Source organism: Homo sapiens, chromosome 4, assembly GCF_000001405.40.
Source record: "Homo sapiens chromosome 4, GRCh38.p14 Primary Assembly".
NCBI lineage: Eukaryota > Metazoa > Chordata > Mammalia > Primates > Hominidae > Homo > Homo sapiens.
The window spans coordinates 168,948,838-168,975,516 of NC_000004.12; the positions used below are offsets into that span (position 1 = coordinate 168,948,838).

A 26,679-nucleotide genomic window follows, 5' to 3' on the forward strand; every position below is an offset into this window, starting at 1 on the left:
GGCTATGTGGGCAATTTTTTGGTTTCATAAGAATTTTAGAATTGTTTTTTCTAATTCTGTGAAGAATGATGGTGGTATTTTGATGGAGATTGCATTAAATCTGTAGACTGCTTTTGGCAGTATGGTCATTTTCACAATATTGATTCTACCCTTCCATGAGCATGGGATGTATTTCCATTTGTTCGTGTCATCTGTGATTTCTTTCAGCAGTGTTTTGTAGTTTTCCTTGTAGAGGTCTTTAGCCTCCTTGGTTAGGTATACTCCAGAGTATTTAAATTTTTTTGCAGCTATTGTAGAAGGGGTTGAGTTCTTGATTTGATTCTCTGCTTGGTTGTTTTTGGTGTGTAGAAGAGCTACTGATTTGTGTATGTTAATCTTGTATCCAGAAACTTAGCTGAATTCTTTTATCAGTTCTGGGAGCTTTCTGGAGGAGTCTTCAGGGTTTTCGAGGTAAACAATCATATCGTCAGCAAACAGTGACAGTTTGACTTCTTCTTTACCGATTTGGATACCCTGTATTTCTTTCTCTTGTCTGATTGCTCTGGCTAGGATTTCCTATACTATGTTGAAGAGAAGTGATGAGAGTGGGCATCCTTGTCTTGTTCCAGTTCTCAGAGGGAATGCTTTCAACTTTTCCCTACTCAGTATTATGTTGGCTGTGGGTTTGTCACAGATGGCTTTCATTACATTGAGGTATTGTCCCTTGTATGCTGATTTTGCTGAGAGTTTTAATCATAAAGGGATGCTGGATTTTGTCGAATGCTTTTTCCACATCTGGGTAATGCTGGCTTCATAGAATGAATTAGGGAGAGTTCCCTCTTTCTGTATGTTGTGGAATAGTGTCAAAAGGATTGGTACCAATTCTTCTTTGAATGTCTGGTAGAATTCTGCTGTGAATCTGTCTGGTCCTGGACTTTTTTTTGTTAATTTTTAAATTACCATTTTAATCTCGCTGCTTGTTATTGGTCTGTTCAGGGTATCTAATTCTTCCTGATTTAAGCTAGGAGGGTTGTATTTTTCTAGGACTTTATCCATCTCTTCTAGGTTTTCTAGTTTATGTGGGTAAAGGTGTTCATAGTAGCCTTGAATAATCTTTTGTATTTCCGTGTTGTCAGTTGTAATATCTCCCATTTCGTTTCTTATTGAGGTTATTTGGATTTTCTCTCTCCTTTTCTTGGTTAATCTTCCTAATGGTCTATCAGTTTAATTTATCTTTTCAAAGAATCAGCTTTTTGTTTCATTTATCTTTTGCATTTTGTTGTTGTTTCAATTTTATTTAGTTCTGCTCTGATCTTGGTTATTTCCTTTCTTCTGCTGGGTTTGGGTTTGGGTTTGGTTTGTTCTTCTTTCTCCAGTTCCTTGAGGTGTGGCCTTAGAATGTCTGTTGTGCTCTGTTAGGCATTTAGGGCTATGAACTTTCCTCTTAGCACCGCCTTTGCCGTATCCCAGAGGTTTTGATAGGTTGTGTTATTACTGTCATTCAGTTCAAAGAACTTTTAAATTTCCATCTTGATTTCATTTTTGACCCAAAAGCAGGTTAATTTTCATGTATTTGCATGGTTTTGTAGGTTTCCCTTTTGGAGTTGATTTACAGTTTTATTCCACTGTGGTCTGAGAGAGTGCTTGATATAATTTCAATTTTCTTGAATTTATTATGGCTCGTTTTGTGGCCTATCATATGGTCTATCTTGGAGAAAATTCCATGCACTGCTGAATGGAAAGTGTCTCCGATTGTTGGATGAAATGTTCTGTATATATCTATTAAGTCCATTTGTTCCAAGGTATAGTTTAAATCCGTTCTTTGTTGACTTTCTTTCTTGATGACCTGTCTAGTGATGTCAGTGGAGTACTGAAGTCTCCCACTATTATTGTGTTGCTTTCTATCTCATTTATTAGGTCTGTTAGTAATTGTTTTATAAAACTGGGAGCTCCAGTGTTAGGTGCATATATATTTAGGACTGTGATCTTTTCCTGTAGGACAAGGCCTTTTATCACTATATAATGTCCCTCTTTGTCTTTTTTAACTGCTGTTGCTTTAAAGTTCATTTTGTCTAACATAAGAATAGCTACCCCTGCTCACTTTTGGTGCCTATTTGCATGAAATGCCTTTTTCCCCCGCTTTACTTTAAGTTTGTGCGAGTCCTTATGTGTTAAGTGAGTCTCTTGAAGTCAGCAGATAGTTGGTTTGTGAGTTCTTATCCATTCTGTGGTTCTGTATATCTTTTTTTCTTCTTTTTTTTGAGATGGAGTTTCGCTCTGTCACCAGGCTGGAGTGCAGTGGTGCAATCTTGGCTCACGGCAACCTCCACCTCCCAGGTACAAGCGATTCTCCTGCCTCAGCCTCCTAAGTAGCTGGGATTACAGGCACCCACCACCACGCACAGCTAATTTTTATATTTTTAGTACAGATGGGGTTTCACCAAGTTGGCCACAATGGTCTCGATCTCTTGACCTCGTGATCCACCCGCCTCGGCCTCCCAAATGCTGGGATTACAGGCGTGAGCCACTGCACCTGGCCAGTTCTGTATCTTTTAAGTGGATCATTTAGGCTATTTATATTCAATGTTAGTACTGAGATGCAATGTACCATTCCATTCATCATGCTATTTGTTGCCTGTGTACTGTGGTTTTTTGTTTTTGCTTTTTAAATTGTATTTTTGTTTTATAGGTCCTGTGAGATTTATGCTTTTAAAGAGGTTCTGCTTTGATGTGTTTCCAGGATTTGTTTCAAGATTTAGAGCTCCTTTTAGCAGTTCTTGTAGTGGTGGCTTGGTAGTAGCAAATTCTCTCAGCATTTGTTTGTCTGAAAAAGACTATCTTTCCCACATACATGATGCTTAGTTTCACTGGATACAAAATTCTTGGCTGATAATTGTTTTTGTTTGAGGAGGCTGAAGACAGGGCCCCAATCCCTTCTAGCTTGTAGGGTTTCTGCTGAGAAATCTGCTGTTAGTCTGATAGGTTTTCCTTTAAAGGTTACCTAGTGCTTTTGTCTCGTAGCTCTTAAGATTCTTTCCTTCGTCTTAACTTTAGATAACCTGATGACAATGTGCCTAGGTGATGATATTTTTGCGATGAATTTCCCAGGTGTTCTTTGTGCTTCTTGTATTTGGATGTCTAAGTCTCTAGCAAGGCTGGGGAAGTTTTCCTCAATTATTCCCCCAAATATGTTTTCCAAATTTTTAGATTTCTCTTACTCCTCAGGAACACCAAATATTCTTAGGTTTGGTTGTTTAACATAATCCCAGACTTCTTGGAGGCTTTATGCATATTTTCTTATTCTTTTTTCTTTGTCTTTGTTGGATTGGGTTAATTTGTAGACCTTGACTTCCAACTCTGAATTTCTTTCTTCTACTTGTTCAATTCTATTGCTGAGATTTTCCAGAGCATTTTGCATTTCTATAAGTGTGACCAATATTTCCTGAAGTTTTGATTTTTTTTTTATGGTTATCTATTTCCTTGAACATTTCTCCCTTCACTTCTTGTATCATTTTTTGGATTTCCTTGCATTGGGCTTCACCTTTCTCTGGTGCCTCCCTGATCAGCTTAATAACTAACCTCCTGAATGCTTTCTGGGGTAAATCAGAAATTTCTTCTTGGTTTGGATCCATTGCTGCTGACCTAGTGTGATTTTGGGGGGGTGTTAAAGAGCCCTGTTTTGTCATATTACCAGAGTTGGTTTTCTAGTTGCTTCCCATTTGGGTAGGCTCTGTCAGAGGGAAGGTTTAGGGCTGAAGGCTGTTGTTCAGATTCTTTTGTCTCACAGGGTGTTCCCTTGATGTAGCACTCTCCCCTTTTTCCTATGGATGTGGCTTCCTGAGAGCCGAGCTGCAGTGATTGTTATCTCTTTTCTGGGTCTAGCCACCCAGCAAGTCTACCAGGCTCCAAGCTGGTACTGGGGGTTGTCTGCACGAGTCCTGTGATATGAACTGTCTATGGGTCTCTCAGCCATGGATACCAGCACCTGTTCCGGTAGAGGTGGCAGGGGGGTGAAATGGATTCTGTGAGGATTCTTGGCTTTGGTGGTTTAATGTTCTATTTTTGTGCTGGTTGGCCTCCTGCCAGGAGGTGGCTCTTTCCAGAGGGCATCAGCTGTGGTAGTATGGAGAGGAACTGGCAGTGGGCAGGGCCCTAGAACTCCCAAGAGTATATGCCCTTTGTCTTCAGTTACTAGGGCGGGTAGAGAAGGACTAGCAGGTGGGGGAAGGGCTAGGCATGTCTGAGCTCAGACTCTCCTTGGGCAGGTCTTGCTGCAGCTGCTGTGGAGGATGTGGGTGAGGTTCCCAGGTCAATGGAGTTGTGTACCTGGGAGGATAATGGCTGCCTCTGCTGAGTCATGTAGGTTGTCAGCGAAGTGAGGGAAAGGCAGCAGTCACAGGCCTCACTCAGCTCCCACACAATCCGAAAGGCCGGTCTTACTCCCACCGTGCCCCCCCGCAAAAGCACCGCATCTATTTCTGTTTCCAGACAGTGGGCAAGCAGGGTTGTGTCCTCAGTATTTCTATTTCCTACAAATTGGCAGCTGGATCCAGAGGTAAACAGTAGATTTAGAGGCTTAATAAAACCTACATTCACTCTGATCTGCATTTTTTTTTTTGGTTTTTTGGAGACAGGGTCTCATTCCGTTGCCTTTGCAGTGGCACAATCACAATCACAGCTCACTGCAGCCTCTCAACGTCTCTGGACCAAGCAATCCTCCTACATCAGCCTCCCAAGTAGCTGGGACCACAGCATGCACCACCTGCAAAGCTAATTTTTTTTTTTTTTTATAGAGACAGGATCTCGTGTGTTGCCCAGGTTGGTCTCGAACTCCTGGGTTCAAGTGATCCTCCTGCCTCAGCCTCCCAAAGTGCTTGGATTATAGGAGTGAGCCACAATGTCCAGCCCAATCTGCTTATTAACACTCCACTGTTAAGCCTAAGAAGATAGCCAAAGATTGCCAAACATTTTAAGACAGCATCTAATATGACAGGGATCTAAATAATACAGAAGCTTGGAAAGTTAGAGCACATAGAGAAGAAAACTTCTATTATTAATTTGTCCAAGCTCAAAGAAATAACAGAAGACACTGCATCCAGGAAACAAGCACAGGATGCTATAGATAAGGAATATTTAGAAAAGGAACTCTCAGAAAGTAAAAAATAAGTAGCTAAAATTAAAGACTCAAATATAGTTTGAAGATAAAACTGGGGAAATCTCCCAGAAAGTAGGACCAAAAAGAGAGAAAGAGAGATTTATGGAATCCACCAACAGATGAAAAAAGACCTAAATCAAAGACTACCACAATAAAATGTTATAACAATGAAAGCAAAGAAAATGTCCTGAGCATTTCCAGAGGCAAATACACACACACACAAATAAAATACATTTTATTTAAAACTTCTTAAGCACAACACTGAAAGACTTAAGACAATGAAACAATTCTTTCAAAATTCTGAGGAAAATGTTTCCAAGCTAGTATTCTGTCTTAGTCCATTTCCTGATATTATAAAGAATACCACAAACTGGGTAATTTATAAAGAAAAGAGATTTATTTGCTTCATGGTTCTGAAGGCTGAGACATAGTACCAGCATCTGCTTGGCCATTTGGTGAGGGCCTTCTTTTTGCATCATCCCATAGCAGAAAGCAGAAAGGCAAGCAAACTCCACCCTCATAACCTAATCACCTCTTAAAAGTACCACCTCTAATACTATCACAATGGCAATTAAATTTCAACATGAGTTTTGGAGGGGGTACTTAAACCATAGCATATTCTACACTCAGTCAATTTAGTATATGGGAAATTAAAACATCTGCAAATACTGAAGGTCTCAAATATTTTGTCTCCCAAACACATTTTTTCAGAAAGTTACTTGAAGATGTACTCCACCAAATGAAGTCATAAACCATGAAAAGGAAGACATGAGATCCATGGAAGAGAGGATCCAACGTATTAGATAGGCAAAGAAAATCCACAAGATGATACCGCCCCTAAACAACAGCTATGCAGCAGAAAACAATCAGTCAAGATTGGAACAGATCAGAAGACTCCAGGAAATATTTATTCAAGATAAGAAAATGATAAATTACTCAATGTTTCTGAATGATATGAACAGGATATTTATACAACTGAGAATGGTTCGGAATTAATGAATTAGTGTTGAGAACACAGATAACTAATTAAATGAACAAGAAATAGAATTATCAATTCCAGGAAAAACAAAATACTGTGCAGGCAAGGAAAAGTAACTATCAAATCCTACATAGTTTAGCTGTGAATTATATTTATGTAATTGTCATAATGTAGTTAATGATTATGATATAACTATATTGGAGGATGGCAGGATGGGAAGTATGCTTGCATACAGCAATGTAGGGTGCTAGTCAAAGAGAGGTAAATCCTCCTCTTCCTTACTGAGAAGTCAATACATGAGGCCTAATTCTGAAAAATCAAGAAATATGATAAATTATAAATAAGGGGGCTAATACCAAATGAATCAGAGATTAAAGTGATTCTCTTTGAGAAATAGGAAATGACTCTCCAAATAATGTTAATATATAACTGATAAATAGAAAAGCTAAATTTAAACAAACACTGTTAGGTTGGTGCAAAAGTAATTGTGGTTTTTGTGATTAAAAGTAACAGTATTGCTGGAGCTATGGATAGTAGACACTCTTTCAAAGACAGCTGAACATATTTTATGCTACTATAGTTTTCTCTTTCATTGCTTTCAGGTTGTAGCTTAGGTCACATTTCTCACTCACAAGAGTGAGTGAGTGGAAAATTGTAAAGCAAAGCAGGATTACTATGGAAGGTAGCACTCCAAAGTATCCTGTAGGAATATATCCCCATCCCTAGCCCCAACCTGCCCCAACTATGGATCAAAGATTAAAGGCTGGGAAAACCAGCCTTAGAACTGACATCAAGTGCATATGTCAAGAGACCGGTCAGGACAGACCATGGACTATGGGCCTAGAGCATAAAAGCTGCCAGCTATGCAGCAGCAATGGCCACAAGGGATTAATCTGAGCTCAGTACAACTTGACCACAGAGAAAGGTGAGATTAAAATGAGTCAGACCCTAGTACCATGGGAAAATTTCATGGTTGCTTGGCAGCTCCTTAATAACCTATGGGCACAAATATTTACTTCTAACTGACCCCTTAAGTAAGGGGATTAAAGTGTCTGATGTATATAAAATACAATCGGCACAGCAGCACTGCTTTTAGAACAAGTATTCACTCTCTGAGATATGTTCAGCAATATAGATCAGAGTTAACATTTTGTGAACAAACCAGAAATCATACTGCTCAGAACCCATATGTTTCAGATCAAAATGAATAAATTTGAAAATAGGACTTGAAAAATAAGGCTCAGAATGTATATCAGCAAAGTGGAAAAGACTGGAATACGAAACATAATGCTTCCAGCACTGGGAGGACCCCAGATACAGGGAGGACCCCAGATACAATACACCAGCATTCCTTATCAAGAGTAAGGGAAATAGGCTGGGTGCAGTGGCTCACACCTGTAATCCTAGCACTTTGGGAGGCCAAGGCAGGAGCCTAGAAATTCAAGACCAGCCTGGGCAACATGGCAGAACCCTGTCTCCACAAAAAAAAACACAAAAATTAGTTACGCACGGTGGCGTGTGCCTATAGTCCCAGCTATGTAGGAGGCTGAGGGGAGAAGATTGCTTGAGCCCAGGAGGCAGAGGTTGTAGTGAACTGAGACTGCACCACTGCACTCCAGCCTGGGCGACACAGCCAGACCCTGTCTCAAAAAAAAAAAAAAAAAAAAAAAAAAAAAACAGAATGGAAATAATATTTACTAAGTACTTACTATATGCCAGGTTTACACCAGTACCTTAACGCTATTTCATTTAATCCTTACAATAAGTGTAGGAAGGGTTATTCTCTTTTCCAGGTGAGGAAACAGGCTTAGAGAAAGGATATAATTTGCCAAAAGCACGATTAGTTACAGAACTGGAACTTGAAACCAGAACTATCTGGCTCCAAAGGCCTTATCTTTCCATTAACCTCCCTGCAAAATACGTGAAACCCTATACTGAGATGTTTCACATCTATGAAAGGGCACTAAGAATTAGTAACATAATCACCTTATAGTAGATGAGTAGTATAAGACATCACTCAAAATTCCAGTAAAGATATACATGAACAAGATTCCTATCTTCCCCCTGGCAAAAGCAGTAGGTATTAATTTCAAATATGCCCACAGATACTTAAATAATATGTGCGTCAGCTAAAGTGATTTAAAGATGAGGCATAGATTTCCATCACTCTCAGGAAGAAGAAATTGTCTCTTCAGAATATATTCTGAACACTACATCGCCACCATTCACTTGAAGCCTTTATCACTCAAAAGCTTTCAGAGGAGGAAACCAATATTAAACATTCTTATTTAGGCTAAATTAAAAATGATTTACTTACTCTTGAAGAGGCTTCTAATTAAAAGAGTAAAAAATCGCTTTGACAAACATCACACTAGATGACATATGACTAGTCACTACAAGACTAAACATTGTACCCCTTAGTGTAGGTAGGGGGAAATTTTGTTCTCCAATGCTGTGTGCCCCAGGTTGTTTCCTCAACCAAAATTCAGAAACCTTCTCCCATCACTGCTATCCTCCCTTTGTTTTTACCAACTTAACTGAGGTGTAACTCATTCATTTAAAGTGTATCTGAATTGTGAAAACATATACACCCACGAAACTGCTACCAGAATCAAGATACAAACTACTTCCACCACCTATAAAAGTTTTCTCATGCACCTTGTAGTCCACCCCTGCCTTCACTCCCAGGCCCAGACAACTGTTGTTCTGCTTTCTGCTATGGTAGATTAGTTTGCATCTTCTAGAATTTTATATGACTGGAATCACGCAATATGAATTCTGATATGGTTTAGCTGTGTTCCCACCCAAATGTTATCTTGAACTGTAGTTCCCATAATCCCCACATGTCGTGGAAGGGACCCAGTGGGAGGTAATTGAATCATGGGGGTAGTTACCTCCATGCTGTTCTCGTGATAGTGAGTTCTCACGAGATCTGATGGTTTTATAAGGGGTTTTCCCTGCCTACACTCAGCACTTCTTGCTGCCACCATGTGAAGAAGGACATGCTTGCCATGCTTCCCCTCTGTAAGTTTCCTGAGGCCTCCCCAGCCCTGCGGAACTATGAGTAATTAAACCTCTTTCCTTTATAAATTACCCACGAGGTCAATAGTTCAAGACCAGCCTGGCCAACATGGTGAAACCCCGTCTCTATTAAAAATACAAAAACTAGCCAGCGTGGTGGTGAGCACCTGTAATCCCAGCTACTCGGGAGGCTGAGACAGGAGAATTGCTTGAACCCAAGAGGCGGAGGTTGCAGTGAGCCAAGATCACACCACTGTACTCCAGCCTGGGTGACAGAACAAGACTCCATCTCAGGAAAAAAAAAAAAATTACCCACTGTCAGGTATGTCCTTATAGTAGCATGAGAACAGACGAATACATACTCTTTTTTGAATCTGGCTTCTTTCACTCAGCATAATTATTTTGCAATTTATCTATGTGTATAATAGTTGTTTTGTATTCCTAAGTAATATTTTATTGTATGGATAGATTATATTTTGTTTATCCATTCTCTTATTAATGAATATGTGGATTGCTTACAATTTTGGCTATTACGAATAAAACTGCTATGAACAATAATATACAAATCTTTGTGTGAACACGTATTTTTATTTATATTGGGAAAATATGTAGGAGTAGAATGGCTGAATTTTATGTTAAGTTTATGTTCAACTTTTTAAGAGAATGCCAGTTTTGCAGTTTGTAACATTTTACATTCCCACCGGCAACAAAGTTCTAGTTGCTCCATATCCCCAATTGGTATTGTCAGCCTTTTTCCTTTCAGCCATTCTAATGGATATCTGGTGGTATCTCATTGTGGTTTTACTTTGCATTTCCCTGGTGACTAAAGCTACTGAGCATCTTTTCACATATCTACAATTACTCAGATATCTTTTGTGAAAGGTCTATTCAAATCATTTGGCCATGTTTTATTTTGTTGTCTTATTATTCGTTTTAGGAGTCTGTTATATATTCTGGTCAAAAGTCCTTTTTCATGTATATATGTATATATATAGTTTCACCTAGTCTGTGACTTTCTTTTTCATTTCCTTTTCTTAATGATATCTTCCAAAGAGCAAAATTTCTTGATTTTTATAAAACCCAATTTACCATTTTTTTTCTGTATGGTTTATGTTTTTGGTGTCTTATCTAAGGAATCACTGCCTACCCCAAAGTCACTTTTGTCCTACATTTTCTTCCAGAAGTTCTATAGTTTTAGTTTTTAGATTTATGTCGTATCCATTAAAATTAATTTTTTTGTATGGTGTGAAGTAGGGATTAAGGTTCATTTTTTTCACATGGCTATCCAGTTGTTCCAACCCCATTTGCTCAAAGTCTTTCCTTTTCTTCACTGAAATTGCCTTGGCACCTTTGTCAAAAATCAATTGACCATACTTGTGTGGCTCCACTTCTGGGTTCTCTCTTTAGTTCCACTGATCTATATATCTATCCTTTCACCAATACCACACTGTCTTGATTACTGTCACATCATAGTTCATCTTAAAATCAGGTAGTATAATTTCTCCAATTTTGTTCACCTTTTATAAAACTGCTTTGGCTAATCTCGGTGGTTTACATTACCACAAATTTTTAAATCAGCTTATCAATTTCTTTTTTTTTTTTTTTTTTTTTGGAGATAGAGTCTCACTCTGTTGCCCAGGCTGGAATGCAGTGGCATGACCTCGGCTCACTGCAATCTCCACCTCCAGGGTTCAAGCAATTCTCCTGCCTCAGCCTCCTGAGTAGCTGGAATTACAGGCATGTGCCACCATGCCCGGCTAATTTTTGTACTTTTAGAGAGATGGGGTTTCACCTTGTTGGTCAGGCTGGTCTCAAACTCCTGACCTCGTAATCCACCTGCCTCGGCCTCCCAAAGTTCTGGGATTACAGGCGTGAGCCACCACGCCCAGCCTCAATTTCTATTAAAAAAAAAAAAAAACCTTCTGAAATTTGTATTTGAATAGTACTGAATTTATACACAGATCAAGTTAGAGAAAACTAACATGTTAACGATATTGAATCTTCCAACCCAAGAACATGGTAAATTTGTCTATTTAGATCTTTAATTTCTCTCCATCAATATTACCTAATTTTCAACATACAGGTTTTATACTTCTGTTAAATGTATTCCTAAGTGTTATGGTTTTTAATGCTACTGTAAATGGAATTTAGTCCCATTTTCCTATTGTTTGCTGCCATTCAAGAAGCAGAACTCTCTGTCTTTGGTACAATTTATCTGGTAAAAGAGGGTAATTTCTACATGGAATTATTATTTCATAAACACATTATAGCCACATTATCTCAAAGTTAACCACTTTTGTTTTTGTTTTTAACGCAGTAAACATTTCTCCAGTGTCTACTATTATTTGAAAGTACCAAAACAAGGGAGGAGAAACATGGAACCATATAACAAATACTACATAAGCTCACAATCTAGTGGAAAAATGAGTAAATCATTTTAATATATGCAGTATATGCTATAACTAGAGAATGTATAAAATATTCAGGAAGTCTTAAAGGATCCAGAGAAGTTCACCAGAGGCATTCAGATAGAAGAAATACATTTTTCTACTATTGTATACTATCAGTTGTACTGAAAAGATATACAGATCAATTAACAATATTGAGTCTTCCAACCCAAGAACACAGTAAATGCTGTATAGATGCTATTTACTATTTCCTTTTTAAAAACACCTTTATTAGAATAAGTACTACATGAAACTACTCTTGAATATAGTGTAAGTGATCATATTAATATTTACTTTCTTAAATCCATGTACTTTCTTAAAAACAAGATTGCCACAAGAAAGAAATAAGTTTGCTGAGATTTAAAAGTCTTTATGTTAGAAGAGAGAGTACCTCTTACCAAAATGAGCATGTTTCCTGTTGCTAGATTATGCTGGTAGGTATGCGGTGGCATCTATTTCAACTTAGATAATAACACAACTCTATAAGCACAAGCTGTTTCCGGTCGAAATTATTAGTCATGAACACCAAAATCTGAATGAGCTCTATCCAATCTCAAACTGCTTGCTGAGCAATTCCACAAGAGAATTTGATGGGGACAGCCAACTTTAGAGCCTAGAAAGTGATCACGTATTACAAGACGGTGGTTATGGGTACTAGGTAACAGCATAAAAGCAGCACTGACCAACTGAAAGGCAAGAGATGATACTGACGCTTTCTTTGTCCTATTGAAATTTTTTTTCTATGACTGGCACTAACTCTGAGACATAAATCATATGAATACCTTGCTCAGTTGCAGATTCAGATTTAAACAAGGAGCTAAGTGCCAAGTTTTCATCCCTATGCCAAGTGTTTGAAAAGTAAGTTAGAAACTGTAAATCTTATGTCTTTTCTACATATATATATCTAAATTTATTCTGTCTTGTATGTAAAGAGTTGTCTCAATATCTATAGAATATTATATTATGAACAAAAAAGAATTTCTAGACAGTTTAGAGATGCTTTATCCAAAAGAATCTAAAACATTCACGGACAGGTTTCTGGCTGTCTACTGTGAAACCCCTAAAAATGTAAAATTCAATATGTGTACTTTTCTAGGTGGAAAGTCCACAGTTTCCAGTTTCTCCATGAGATCCATGAACTAAAATAGCTTTAAAAACACTATATTTAAAAGAAAAGAAAAGAAAAAGAGACCGGGTGTGGTGGCTCATGCCTGTAATCCCAGCACTTTGGGAGGCCAAGGCAGGTGGGTCACCTGAGGTCAGGAGTTCGCGACCAGCCAGGCCAACATGGTGAAACCCCGTCTCTACTAAAAATACAAAAATTAGCTGGCCATGGCGAAAGGCGCCTGTAATCCCAGCTACTCATGAAGCTGAGGCAGGAGAATTGCTTGAACCCGGGAGGCGGAGGTTACAGTGAGCCAAGATCGTGCCATTGCACTCCAGCCTGGGCAACAGAGTGAAACTCTGTCATAGAAAGAAAGGAAGGGAGAGGGGAGGGGAGGGGAGAACAAGAGGAGAGCACAGGAGAGGAGAGGAGAGGAGAGGAGAGGAGAGGAGAGGAGAGGAGAGGAGAGGAAAGGAAAGGAGAGGAGGAAGGCAAGCAGGCCAAAAAAAAAACCATTATATTAAAGAGTTAAACGTTTTTAAAAAGAAAAAAGATGTAAACAATTAAAAATTAGGTAATCTCTGAAAGAGTACAGCAATGAAAGAAAACACAAAGGAAAACCATTTTACTATGTATTTCAAATAAAATCCTAAAATTAAAAGGTAAGTCAAAAACTAAGGATTTTTTTTTCTACTCTCTCCCCTTCTTGAAAGCGAAATATTTTATGGAAAATACACAACCATATATTACATTCACAGCAAAGTGTTTTTATAACTCAAGACAGGTGGAGATGTTATAAAGTAGGCATTCTGATTTACTGCTGATATACTTTTCCAAGTCTGGACCACGTCAATGGATATCAGGATGGAAGGGGTTAGAAGAACTCAAGGTTGCTTGGAAATTAGGCTTAATAAGATATGATTAATGAGTAAATGTACGGGATGGAAGAGAAGAAAGACTTGAGGATAATACTCAGGTCTCTGGCTTGATCCACTAAATAATTGAGAGTGAATATTAAGATTAAGAACACAGAAGAATTGCTGGTTGGTAGAGAAAGATGATGAGTTCCATTTTGTACATGTTGGATTTGAGGAATCTGTAGGATATTCAAGAAAAATACAGTTAAATATATGAATCCAAACTATAAAAAAAGCTAAAGTGAAGATATACTTGGATATTATAAGCATTTTTATAAAAAGTATCTAGATTGCTAATGGAAACGTGTTGAATAAGAAGACAGCCCAGGACAGAACTTTGAGAAATCAACAGCTAAGAGACCAGCAGAGTAAAGGAGCACATAAAGGAAATCAATAAAGAAAATCAGAAAGAGGAAGAAAATCAGGAGTGAGATGTCATAGAACCCAAGGGGCAAAAACAGTTTTGGAATTCTTAAAGACAGAGAAGAGAAGGGGGACTAACCTGTATTAAATGTCTACTAGATACAAAGTATTTCAAACACTTATACTTTAACAAGTATACTCCTCATTTTGAGCATTAGGAACCTATCATTCAGATAGTTTAAATAATTGTCCAAATAAAACTGTAAGTGCTAAAACAGAATTTTAATTCCAGTATTTCAAAATCCATGTTCATTCCACTGAAACTAACGGAAAGGACTGAGGAAGCACTCAGAAAGATTTGGATGGTCAAGCCCTGACTTAAATTGTGGTTGATTTCAGCACAACTGACTGCCAAAAGCCAGTTTTATCCTGATGTTATCATAGCACCTCAGCTAGGAAAAATTAAAATGCTAATAATTTTTAAAATCCAGATACTTCATAAATTAGTCAGATGTTCTTCAAAAAGGTGGGTAACTGTTGAAAGCAGAGTTACTTACTCATTCAGAGAAGATAACAGAACACAGATGTCTTATGCCACAATGGATTGACAATTAGAGCACCTGAGTTCCCAAGAACATTAGCAAATTCAGAAACTCCTGTATAAATCTTTTTTTTTTTTTTTTTGAGATGGAGTCTCACTCTTGTCACCCAGCCTAGAGTCCTATGGTGTGATCTCAGCTCACTGCAACCTTCGCCTACTGGGTTCAAGCAGTTCTCCTACCTCAGCCTCCCAAATAGCTGGGATTACAGGTGCCCACCGCCATGCCCAGCTATTTTTGTATTTTTAGGAGAGACAGGGTTTCACCATGTTGGCCAGGCTGGTCTCGAACTCCTTACCTCTGGTGATCTGCCCACCTCAGCCTCCCAAAGTGGTGGGAGGCATGAGCCACCGCGCCCAACCTCCTGTATAAACTATTAATAGCTACTGTACCATCAGCCACAGAATAGGTTGCTGAGGGATGCTCCAAGACCAAAGAAACAAAAAGCGCCTATGGGAGTATAATTACTGTGTCTCCATGCACAATAAAGATTAGCTGGTTGTTCAAAAACCTTTTTTTTTAATGTCATGCCCAAGAACAGTTGGGGAACATCCAAATCCAATCACAATGAATGGCAGTATTCCCAGGATGGAATAACTAAAATGCAACTGACAGGAAATATAGATCATCAGTAGTATAGTAACCCATCAAGCTAAATGCATAAATGGCATCCAGCACGTGGGAAATTTTGCTCTGACCAGCATGATCAAGCAAGCAGGTATATTTCTGTGGAAATGGCATCTGAGCCATCACAGAACAATACTCTGACAATATCATTCAACTACACTCCCCTTGCTTGTGTTGCATGATTAGACAACTGTCTGGTTAAAATTTAGGCTGTTGTAGAAAACCAAGGTCTGAGTATGCATATGTTCTCTCAAACTCTCTTCCCTTTAACCTCAGCTTTCTTGAGGCCACTAAGTTTTGTCAAAATCAATTGATTTTCTTATGTCATAATGCCAGACACAGAGCAAGGCAAGGAAAATAAAAAATAAAGACGACCTTCAATCGAAACACACAATCCAATGGAAACAAGTAAAGCCTAAAAAGGTATTTTTCTCCCCACAAGCCAATGCACCTTCTCTCTTTGGTAAGCAGTGGTAAAAATGTCATAGAATAGTATGCAATACTCTTCATATCAAAGAAACCCAGCCACTATAACAACCACACAGAAGTCACTATCAAGAGAATGAGTATCAGCTGTAATTCCCCAAACTGAAGTATAAACATTAATATAAGAAATAACTCTAATGGAGGAGAGGACAAGGAAAACTTCTTGGATGATATGGTATTTGAGAGTAGCCTTGAAAACTAAGATTTCAATAAGCAAGAAAAGCTCTGTCAGGAAAGAAGGGTCTCCAAGGTTGAAGAAACATTGATTTAGTAAGTCAACAAATATTTATTGTGCAAGTATGTGTAGATCACTGTGTTCAGCACTTTGAGTTACCATGAACCAGACTCTAAGGCTTATATTTCATTGGTCAGCTTTCAGTCACATAGCCACACTTAGCTTTAAGGCAGTTTGGGACATGTTTTTTGTTTTTGTTTTGGTATCCATGTATCAAACTAAAACTTTGCAGATGACATGACTGTATATTTAGAAACCCCATCATCTCAGCCCCCAATCTCCTTAAGCTGACTTCAGCAACTTCAGCAAAGTCTCAGGATACAAAATCAATGTGCAAAAATCATAAGCATTCCTATACACCAATAATAGACAAACAGCCAAATCATGAGTGAACTCCCATTCACAATTACTACAAAGAGAATAAAATACCTAGGAATACAACTTACAATGAACGTGAAGGACCTCTTCAAGGAGAACTACAAACCACTGCTCAACAAAATAAAAGAGGACACAAACAAATGTAAAAACATTCCATTCTCATGAAGAATCAATATCGTGAAAATGGCCATACTGCCCAAGGTAATTTATAGATTTAATGCTATCCCCATCAAGCTACCACTGACTTACTTCACAGAATTAGAAAAAACTACTTTAAACTTCATATGGAACCAAAAAAGAGCCCACATAGCCAAGACAATCCTAAGCAAAAAGAACAAAGCTGGAGGCATCATACTACCTGACTTCAAACTATACTACAAGGCTACAGTAACCAAAACAGCATGGTACTGGTACCAAAACAGATATATAGACCAATGGAACAGAACAGAGGCCTCAGAAATAACACCACACATCTACAACCATCTGATCTTTGACAAACCTGACAAAAACAAGCAACGAGGAAAGGATTCCCTATTTAATAAATTGTGCTGGGAAAACTGGCTAGCCATATGTAGAAAGCTGAAACTGGATCCTTTCCTTACACCGTATACAAAAATTAACTCAAGATGGATTAAAGACTTGAATATAAAACCTAACACCATAAAAACCCTAGAAGAAAACCTAGGCAATACCATTCAGGACATAGACATGGGCAAAGAATTCATGACTGGAACACCAAAAGCAATGGCAACAAAAGCCAAAATAGACAAATGGGATCTAATTAAAGAGCTTCTGCACAGCAAAAGAAACTATCATCAGAGTGAACAGGCAACCTACAGAATGGGAGAAAATATCTGCAATCTACCCATCTGACAAAGGGCTAATATCCAGAATCTACAAAGAACTTAAACAAATTTAGAAGAAAAAAACAACCATATCAGAAAGTGGGCAAAGGATATTAACAGACACTTCTCAAAAGAAGACATTTATGCAGCCAACAAACATACGAAAAAAATGTTCATCATCACTGGTCATCAGAGAAATGCAAATCAAAACCACAATGAAATACCATCTCATGCCAGTTAGAATGGCGATCATTAAAAAGTCAGGAAACGTGGCTCACGACTGTAATCCTAGCACTTTGGGAGGCCGAGGAGGGCGGACCACGAGGTCAGGAGATCAAGACCATCCTGGCTAACAGGTGAAACCCCATCTCTACTAAAAATACAAAAAAAAAAAAAAAAAAAAAAAGGCCAGGCGTGGTGGCAGATGCCTGTAGTCCCAGCTACTCGGGAGGCTGAGGCAGGAGAATGGTGTGAACCCGGGAGGTGGAGCTTGCAGTGAGCCGAGATCGCACCACTGCCTTTCAGCCTGGACGACAGAGCGAGACTCCGTCTCAAAGAAAAAAAAAAAGAAAAAAGCCAGGAAACAGATGCTGGAGAGGATGTGGAAAAATAAGAACTCTTTTACACTGTTGGTGGGTGTGTAAATTCCTTCAACCATTGTGGAAGACAATGTGGCGACTCAAGGATCTAGAACCAGAAATTCCATTTGACCCAGCAATCCCATTACATTATACCCAAAGGATTATAAATCATGCTACTACAGGGCCGGGCACAGTGGCTCACGCCTGTAATCCCAGCACTTTGGGAGGCCGAGGCGGGCGGATCACAAGGTCAGGAGATCAAGACCATCCTGGCTAACACGATGAAACCCAGTGCCTACTAAAAATACAAAAAACTAGCCGGGTGTGGTGGCAGGTACCTGTAGTCCCAGCTACTCAGGAGGCTGAGGCAGGAGAATGGCAACCCGGGAGGCCGAGCTTGCAGCGAGTCCAGATTGCGCCACTGCACTCCAGCCTGGGCAATGGAGCAAAACTCCATCTAAAAAAAAAAAAAAATCACGCTACTATAAAGACACATGCACACATATGTTTATTGCGGCACTGTTCACAGTAGCAAAGACTTGGACCCAACCCAAATGTCCATCAATGATAGAGTAGATTAAGAAAATGTGGCACATATACACCATGTAATACTATGCAGCCATAAAAAAGGATGAGTTCATGTCCTTTGCAGGGACATTGATGAAGCTGGAAACCATCATTCTAAGCAAACTATTACAAGGACAGCAAACCAAACACCGCATGTTCTCACTCATAGGTGGGAGTTGAACAATGAGAATACATGGACACAGGGCGGGGAACATTACACATCGGGGCCTGTCAGGGGGTTGGGGGCTGGGGAAAGGATAGCATTAGGAGAAATACCTAATGTAAATGACGAGTTGATGCGTCCAGCAAACCAACATGGCACATGTATACCTATGTAACAAATCTGCACATTGTGCACATGTACCCTAGAACTTAAAGTATAATTTTAAAAAAACAGGGAGTTCTATTATTATGAAGGAAAGGAATAATGGACCTTGGAAAACAACCAGCAGTCTCTGCTACCTAGGAAACAGGTCATTGAAAACAGAAATAAGCCAAAAGAAATTTCTAGGATGGTGGTGAAGGAAAGTCCCACTTTAAAAATTGTGCAGCACACTAAAAGCCATTCAGTCTGTACTGGAGCAGGTGGATGGGGAGTAGGCAAGAGGGGGTACTAAAAAGTGTATCTCAAACAAACAAAAACTGATAGACCATGGTATTGAGAGAAATTCTAGAGTGCTGTTGAGTTTGAAGACAGAATAATAATAGACACATTTCAAACTACACAAATATAAAACAAAGCAATTATTAATGCCAGGAAATCTCCAAAAATGAGTATGGGAGGAAACATGATTATAGGATACTCCATGCCTCAACTGTTGTGGTAGCTCATCTCCAAAGACGGCCCTCAACACTACCTGATCTTTATACTCTCTTCTAACCACCTCACTCTCTCACTTTCCATAATGACAAATTCAAACCTCCTCTACTCTCCTCAAACACTAGTGCCTTTCCTTTGCCACACCAAAAGCCAGCCAAGTAATTTCTTAGAGAAAATAAAAGTCATCATTTGAGGTTGGTAATCGTGAATTTAGCATAAAACCAAACTGCCCTTTTTTATGACTTTCTAACATAGCCCTTATATTTTCTACAGGAACAAAATCAAAAGTTTATCATGTAAATTATGGTTTTACCAAACAAGTGTAATAAAAATGCAAGGGAGAAAAGGTTTGTAGGGCATTGCCAAAGTGTGTTACTGACTAACATGCTATCATCAGTAGAGTGGATCATGATGTTTCACTGAACGTCCAGGCAATCAAGGTCCCTTTGGACTATACTGTGACAGAGGGCAGAAGAGTTGATACAGCCCTAGGGCACAACCATAAATGTATACTTTTGTCAATTCCAAGTGAATGTGAACTCCTTCTGATTCTCTTTCCTGTCAGGCAGGAACTGAAAGAATGCACTCTCCATGTCAATAGTTGCTTATGAAGTACCACAGGCTGTGTTCATCTCATCTAGTCAAGATACCGTTTCTGGTATAGCAGCTGTGGCCAGGAAATTGCTTGATTGAATGTACTGTAATAGTTTACCATCACCTAGCACATTCCATCAGTCCTTTGCAAGGACAGTCTCATTAATTAAGTAGGAATATGATAGGAATCACCACACTTCAGCCATTAAGTCACTGAGACTGACATTAATCTCTGCCATTCTACCAGGATATAGTATTATTTCCGATTTACTATCTTGCAGAGAAAGAGAAGGGTCAGTGGTTTCTATTTGTCTTTTCCTACCATGATAATTCTCTCTCCATAAGTCAAAGAACCAGTGTGATGGTTCTGCCTGTTATTAAATATGTCCATGCTGATTATGCATTCAGGAAGTGGGAAAATGACCACAGAGTATGTCTAGGGACACAGTGGACCGAAGTGTAAAACAGATTTGGGCCAGCACTCCATTCATTACCCCATCTCCACATGCTCCCATTAACATCAGAGCCACTGTGGTGTTTTGGGTACCCAAGCAACAATGTTAGCTTGACTGTATTCCCAAGAATCTTTGAAACACCTGGTTAGATTCCTTTCTCCAGTGTACTGTTACTTGGACAAGTGAGCATAGATTCCTTTGAGAAAGGTTGGACAGCTGCTCTGTGTACATTTGCTGTATTATTGCAGGGTTCTTCATGAAGGAGACCCTTCAATTGATTAGGTCTGGATCAGAGAACTGGTCCAAGTCTGGGAACTGAGCAAAAGATCATAATTTTTCATTACGGTAAACAGAATGATCCCCCTAGAGATGCCTATTCTCTAATCCTTGGATCCTGTGAATTTTACGTGACATGGCTCATGGGATTTTGCAAATATAACTAAGGTTATACACTTCAAAATATAGATTATCCTGGATAATCTGGCTAGACCCAGTATAATCACATGAACCCTTAAAAGCAAAGAAATTTTTTCTAGCTGGTCAGAAAACAGCAGCAGAAGGATAGAGTTCAACAGATTCAAAGCATGAGTGGGACTCAACCTGCCACTGCTAGTGGACTGAGCCTCCATGTTGCCCATGGAAACATGAGAAGGAATGCAGGCAGCCTCTAGAAGCAAAGACTGGCTGCCGGCTAACAGCAACAACAACAAAAACGGACCTCTCATATTTAAGAGATCCCGCTGATCTACATACTCTTCAACTTTGCAACTGAAATTGTAGTCCACAGACCAGTGGAATCAGCATCACTTGGAAATCTGTTAGAAATACAGCATCTCAGGCCCCACTCCAAATCTACTAAATCAAATGATGCATTTAAAAAAAGATTCATAGGTAATTCCTGCTGATGTTGGAGAAGGCCTGCCCTATATCAATTGATATTATCAGACTTATTAATTTTTGCCACTCAAATGTCAACGAAATTTCATGTGGTCTTGATTTGCATATCTCTAGTGTGAACACAGGTTCAACACATGCTGGCTATGTGTTTCCTCTTCTATGAAACGCCTGTTTTTTATCTTTTGCCCATTTTCCTAACGGGTTATCCTTATTGATTTATTGTTGCATTATATATTCTTGATACTGACTCTTTATTAGTTATCTATATTGCATAAACTTTTTATCAGTTTGTAATCAGTCTTTGCTATCTTTAAGGGATTTTTTTGATAAATAAAAGGACTTAATTTTAATATAGTCAATTTGACCAAACTTTTCTTTTTTATGTTTAAGAATTCCCGCCACACCCCAGAATCAGAAAAATATTCACTTCCATATGTTCTACCAAGCATTTTATTTTGATATTTAAGTACTTTTTTCCATCTGGAATTTACCTTTGTGTATCATGTGAAGAACCAATTTCAATTTCTTCCCTACCTGATTTTTGTTTTATGTCCTCATCAATCCACAAAAGAACATTTTTTTTGAATAGACTATTTTTTTCAAATTATTATTATTTCAATTTTTTAAGGAACAGGTGGTATTTGGTTACATGGATAAGTTATTTAGGTGTGATTTCTGAGATTTTGATGTATCCATCACCTGAGCAGTGTACACTGCACCCAGTGTGTAGTCTTTTGTCCCTCACCCCCCTCCCACCCTTCCCTGCAAGGCCCCAGAGTCCATTATGTCATTCCTAATGCCTTTGCTCCCACTCATAAGTGAGAACATATGATGTTTGGTTTTCCATTCCTGAGTTACTTCACTTAGACTAACAATCTCCAGCTTTATCCAGGTTGCTGCGAATGCTGTTATTTCATTCCTTTTTATGGCTGAGTAGTAGTCCATGATATATATATATATATACCACATTTTCTTCATCTACTCGTTGGTTGATGGGCATTTAGGCTGGTTCCAGATTTTTGCAATTGTGAATTGTGCTGCTATAAACATGCGTGTGCATGTGTCTTTTTCATAAAATGACTTCTTTTCCTCTGGGTAGATACCCAGGAGCGGGATTGCTGGATCAAATGGTAGCTTTTGGTTCTTTAAAGAATCTCCATACTGTTTTCCATAGTGGTTGTACTAGTTTACATTCCCACCAGCAGTGTAAAACTGTTTCCTTTTCACCATATCTATGCCAACATCTATTATTTTTTTATTTTTTAATTATGGCCATTCTTGTAGGAATAAGGTGGTATCACATTGTGGTTTCGATTTGCATTTCCCTGATAATTAGTGATGTTGAGCATTTTTTCATATGTTTCTTGGCCACTTGTATATCTTATTTTTTATCTTTTTTGAGACAGGGTCTCACTTTGTCACCCAGGCTGGAGTGCAGTGGTGCAACCCTGGCTCACTGCAACCTCTGCTTCCCAGGTTCAAGCAATCCTCCCAACCTCAGCCTCCCGAGTAGCTGGGATCACAGGCACACACCACCATGCCCAGCTCATTTTTTTTTTTTTTTTTTTTTTGTATTTTTAGTAGAGACAGGGTTTCACCATGTTGGCCCTGGTCTCGAACTCCTGACCTCAAGCGATCCACCAGCCTTGGCCTCCCAAAGTGCTGGGATTAGAGGCATGGGCCACTGCACCTGGCCCATTTGTGTATCTTCTTGTGATAATTGTCTACTCATGTCCTCAGCCCACTTTATGATAGGATTATTTGTTTTTTTCTTGCTGATTTGAGTTCCTGTAGATTCTAAATATTAGCCCTTTGTCAGATGGATAGTTTCTGAATATTTTCTCCCACTCTGTGAGTTGTTTACGCTGCTGATTATTTCTTTTGCTGTGCAGAAGCTTTTTAGTTTAATTAAATCCCATCTATTTATCTTTGTTTTTGTTGCATTTGCATTTTGGTCCTTGGCCATGAACTCTTTAGGCCAAGGTCTACATGAGTTTTTCCAGTGTTATCTTCTAGAACTTTTATGGTTTTGGGTCTTAGATTTAAGTCTTTGATTCATCTTGAATTGATTTTTGTATAAGGTGAGAGATGAGAACCCAGTTTCATTCTTCCACATGTGGCTTGCCAATTATCTCAGCACCATTTGTTGAATAGGGTGTGCTTTCCCCCACTTTATGTTTTCATTTGCTTTGTCAAAGATCAGTTGGCTATTAAGTATCTGGCTTTATTTCTGGCTTCTCTATTCTGTTCCATTGGTCTATATTTATACCAGTATCATGCTATTTGATAAGTATAGCCTGTAGTATAGTTTGAAGTCGGGTAATGTGATGCCTCCAGATTTGTTCTTTTTGCTTAGTCTTGTTTTGACTATGCAGGCTCTTTTTCGGTTCCACATGAATTTTAGGATTGCTTTTTCTAGTTCTGTAAAGAATGGTGATGATATTATGGCAGGAATTGCATTGAACTTATAGATTGCTTTTGGCAATATGGTCATTTTCACAATATTGATTCTACACAGCCATGAGCATGGGATGTGTTTCCATTCGTTTGTGTCATCTATGATTTCTTTCAGCAGTGTTTTGTAGTTTTCCTTGTAGAGATCTTATACTTCCTTGGTTAGGTATATTCCTAAATATTTTATTTTCTTTGCAGCTGTTGTAAAAGGGGTTAAGTTCTTGATTTGATTCTCAGCTTGGTTGCTGTTGGTGTATAGCAGTGATATTTATTTGTATATACTGATTTTGTATCCTGAAACTTTACTGAGTTCATTATCAGATCTAGAAGCTTTCCAAATGAGTCTTTAGGGTTTTCTAGGTATACGATCATATCATCAGCAAACGGTGACAGTTTGACTTCCTCTTTACCAATGTGGATGCCCTTTCTTTCTCTTGTCTGATTGCTCTGGCTAGGACTCCTAGTACTGTGTTGAATAGAAGTAGTGAAAGTGGGCATCCTTGTCTTGTTTCAGTTCTTAAAGGAAATACTTTAAACGCTTCCCCATTCAGTATAATGTTGGTTGTGAGCTTGTCATAGATGGCTTTTATTACCTTAAGGTATGTTCCTTCTGTACCGATTTTGCTGAGGGTTTTACTCATAAAAAGCTGCTGGATTTTGTCAAATGCTTTTTCTGCATCTATTGGGATGATCATTATCTTTGTTTTTACTTCTGTTTATGTGGTGTATTGCATCTATTGGCTTGTGTATGTTACACCAACCTTGCGTCCCCATCATGAAATACACTTGATCATGGTGCATTATCCTTAATATATTGTTGAATTCAGTTAGCTAGTATTTTGTTGTGGAGTTTTGCATCTATGTTTATTGGGGATATTGATATGTAGTTTTTTTGTTGTTTTTGTTATGTTCCTTCCTAGTTTTGGTATATGGGTAATACTGGCTTCATAGAATGATTTAGGGAGGATTCTCTCTTTATCTTTTGGAATAGTTTCAGTAGGATTGGTACCAATTCTTTTCTTGTTGCCTGTGATGGAATCCAATGGTGTGATCTCAGCTCACTGCAACCTCCACCTCCTGGATTCAAGCAATTCTCCTGCCTCAGCCTCCCAAGTAGCTGGGATTACAGGCACCTGCCACCACATCCAGCTAATTTTTGTATGTTTCGTAGAGATGGGGTTTCACCATGTTGGTCAGGTTGGTCTCAAACTCCTGACCTCAGGTGATCCACCTGCCTTGGCCTCCCAAAGTGCTGGGATTACAGGCGTGAGCCACCACACCCAGCCCCAATTCTTCTTTGAATGTTGATAGAATTCAGTCATGAATCCATCTGGTCCTAGCCTTTCATTGTTGGCGATTTTTTAATTACTCTTAATCTCGCTACTTGTTATCGGTCTGTTCAGAATTTGTTTCTTCCTGGTTTAATCTACGAGGGTTGTATATTTCCAGGAATGTATCTATCTCCTCTAGGTTTTCTAGTTTGTGTGCATAAAGGTGTTCATAGTAGTCTTGAATGATCTTTATCCATTCTGCCATTCTGTATCTTTTAAGTGGACCATTTACACCATTTATAGTCAACTTTAGTATTGAGATGTAAGGTACTATTCTATTCATCATGCTAGTTGTTGCCTGAATACCTTGGGCTTTTTTTCATTGTGTTATTGTTTTATAGATCCTGTGAGATTTATGCTTTAAGGAGGTTCTATTTTGGTGTATTTCAAGATTTTCTTTCAAGATTTAGGACTCCTTTCAGCATTTCTTGTAATGCTGGCTTGGTAGTGGCGAATTCGCTCAGCATTTCTTTGTCTGAAAAAGACTTTATCTCTCTTTCATTTATGAAGCTTAGTTTCACTAGATACAAAATTCTTGGCTGAAGAGAGGCTAAAGAGAGGACCCCAATCACTTCTGCCTTGCAGGGTTTCTGCTGAGAAAACTGCTGGAAATCCGATAGGTTTTCCTTTATAGATTACCTGATGCTTTTGCTTCACAGCTCTTGAGATTCTTTACTTCATCTTGACTTTTGATAACCTGATGACCATGTGCCTAGGTGATGATGTTTTGTGAAGAATTTTCCAGGTGTTCTTTGAGGTTCTTGTATTTAGATGTCTAGATCTCTGGCAAGACCAGGGAAGTTTTCCTTGATTGTTCCCTCAAATAAGTTTTCCAAACTTTTAGATTTCTCTTATTCCTCAGGAACACCAATTATTCTTAGATTTGGTCATTTAACATAATTCCCAAATTTCTTGGAGGCTTTGTTCATTTTTTTTATTCTCTTTTGTCTTTGTTGGATTGGGTTAATTCAAAAGCCTGGTCTTTGGGCTCTTATGTTTTCTTCTATTTGTGCAATTCTATTGCTGAAACTTTCCACTGTATTTAGCATTTCACTAAGTGTCTGTTTCATTTCCAGATTATGATTGTCTTTTCTTTATGATATCTATTTCTCTGGAGACTGTTTCTTCCATATCCTTTATTTTTTTTTAATTTCTTTAAGTCGGTTTTCACCTTCCTCTGGTATCTCCTTGAGTAGCTTAAATAATCAACCTTTTGAATTCTTTTTCTGGCAATTCAGAGATTTATTCTTGGTTTGGATCCATTGCTGGAGAGCTAGTGTGATCTCCTGGGGATGCTATTAAAGAATCTTGTTTTGTCATATTACCAGAGTTACTTTTCTGATTTCTTCTCATTTGGGTAGATTGTTTCAGTGGAAAGATCTGGGACTCAATGGCTGCTGTTCAGGTTCTGTCCCATGGGGTGATCCCTTGATGTGGTTCTCTCCCCCTTCCTCTAGGAATGGGGCTTCCTGAGAGCCAGACTGCAGTGATTGTTACTGCCCTTCTGGGTCTAGCCACCCTTCAGGGCTACCAGACTCCAGGCTGGCAATGGGGAATGTCTGCAAAGAGTACTGTGATGTGATCCACCTTCAGGTCTCCCAGCCATGGATACCAGCACCTGCTCCATTGGAGGTGGCAGGGGAGTAAAGTGGACTCTGTGGGAGTCCTTGGTTGTAATTTAGTGCACTGGTTTTCTTGAATGCTGGTTATGTTAGCAGTGAAGTTGTCACAAGGATAGACTCAGGACCTCTAGTTAGCTAGGGTGTGCAGGTGGTAGAATTACCTGTTGTATTCTCCTTCTCTGGGGCAGAGTTGTTCTGAGTTGCTGTAGTGGCTTGAGTTCA

General features: G+C 38.8%; 1 protein-coding gene and 1 long non-coding RNA gene across 7 annotated transcripts in view; both read right to left on the minus strand.

The window, feature by feature from the left end:
• The window catches only part of CBR4 (carbonyl reductase 4), a 115,770-nt gene that overhangs the window by 54,352 nt on the left and 34,739 nt on the right, over positions 1-26,679 (minus strand). The window lies entirely within an intron of this gene.
• LOC107986200 (uncharacterized) lies at positions 13,688-18,101 on the minus strand. The gene is made up of 2 exons (XR_001741450.1): positions 18,056-18,101; positions 13,688-13,782 (listed from the first exon to the last, which is right to left on the minus strand). It is a non-coding gene; the product is annotated as an uncharacterized LOC107986200 (long non-coding RNA).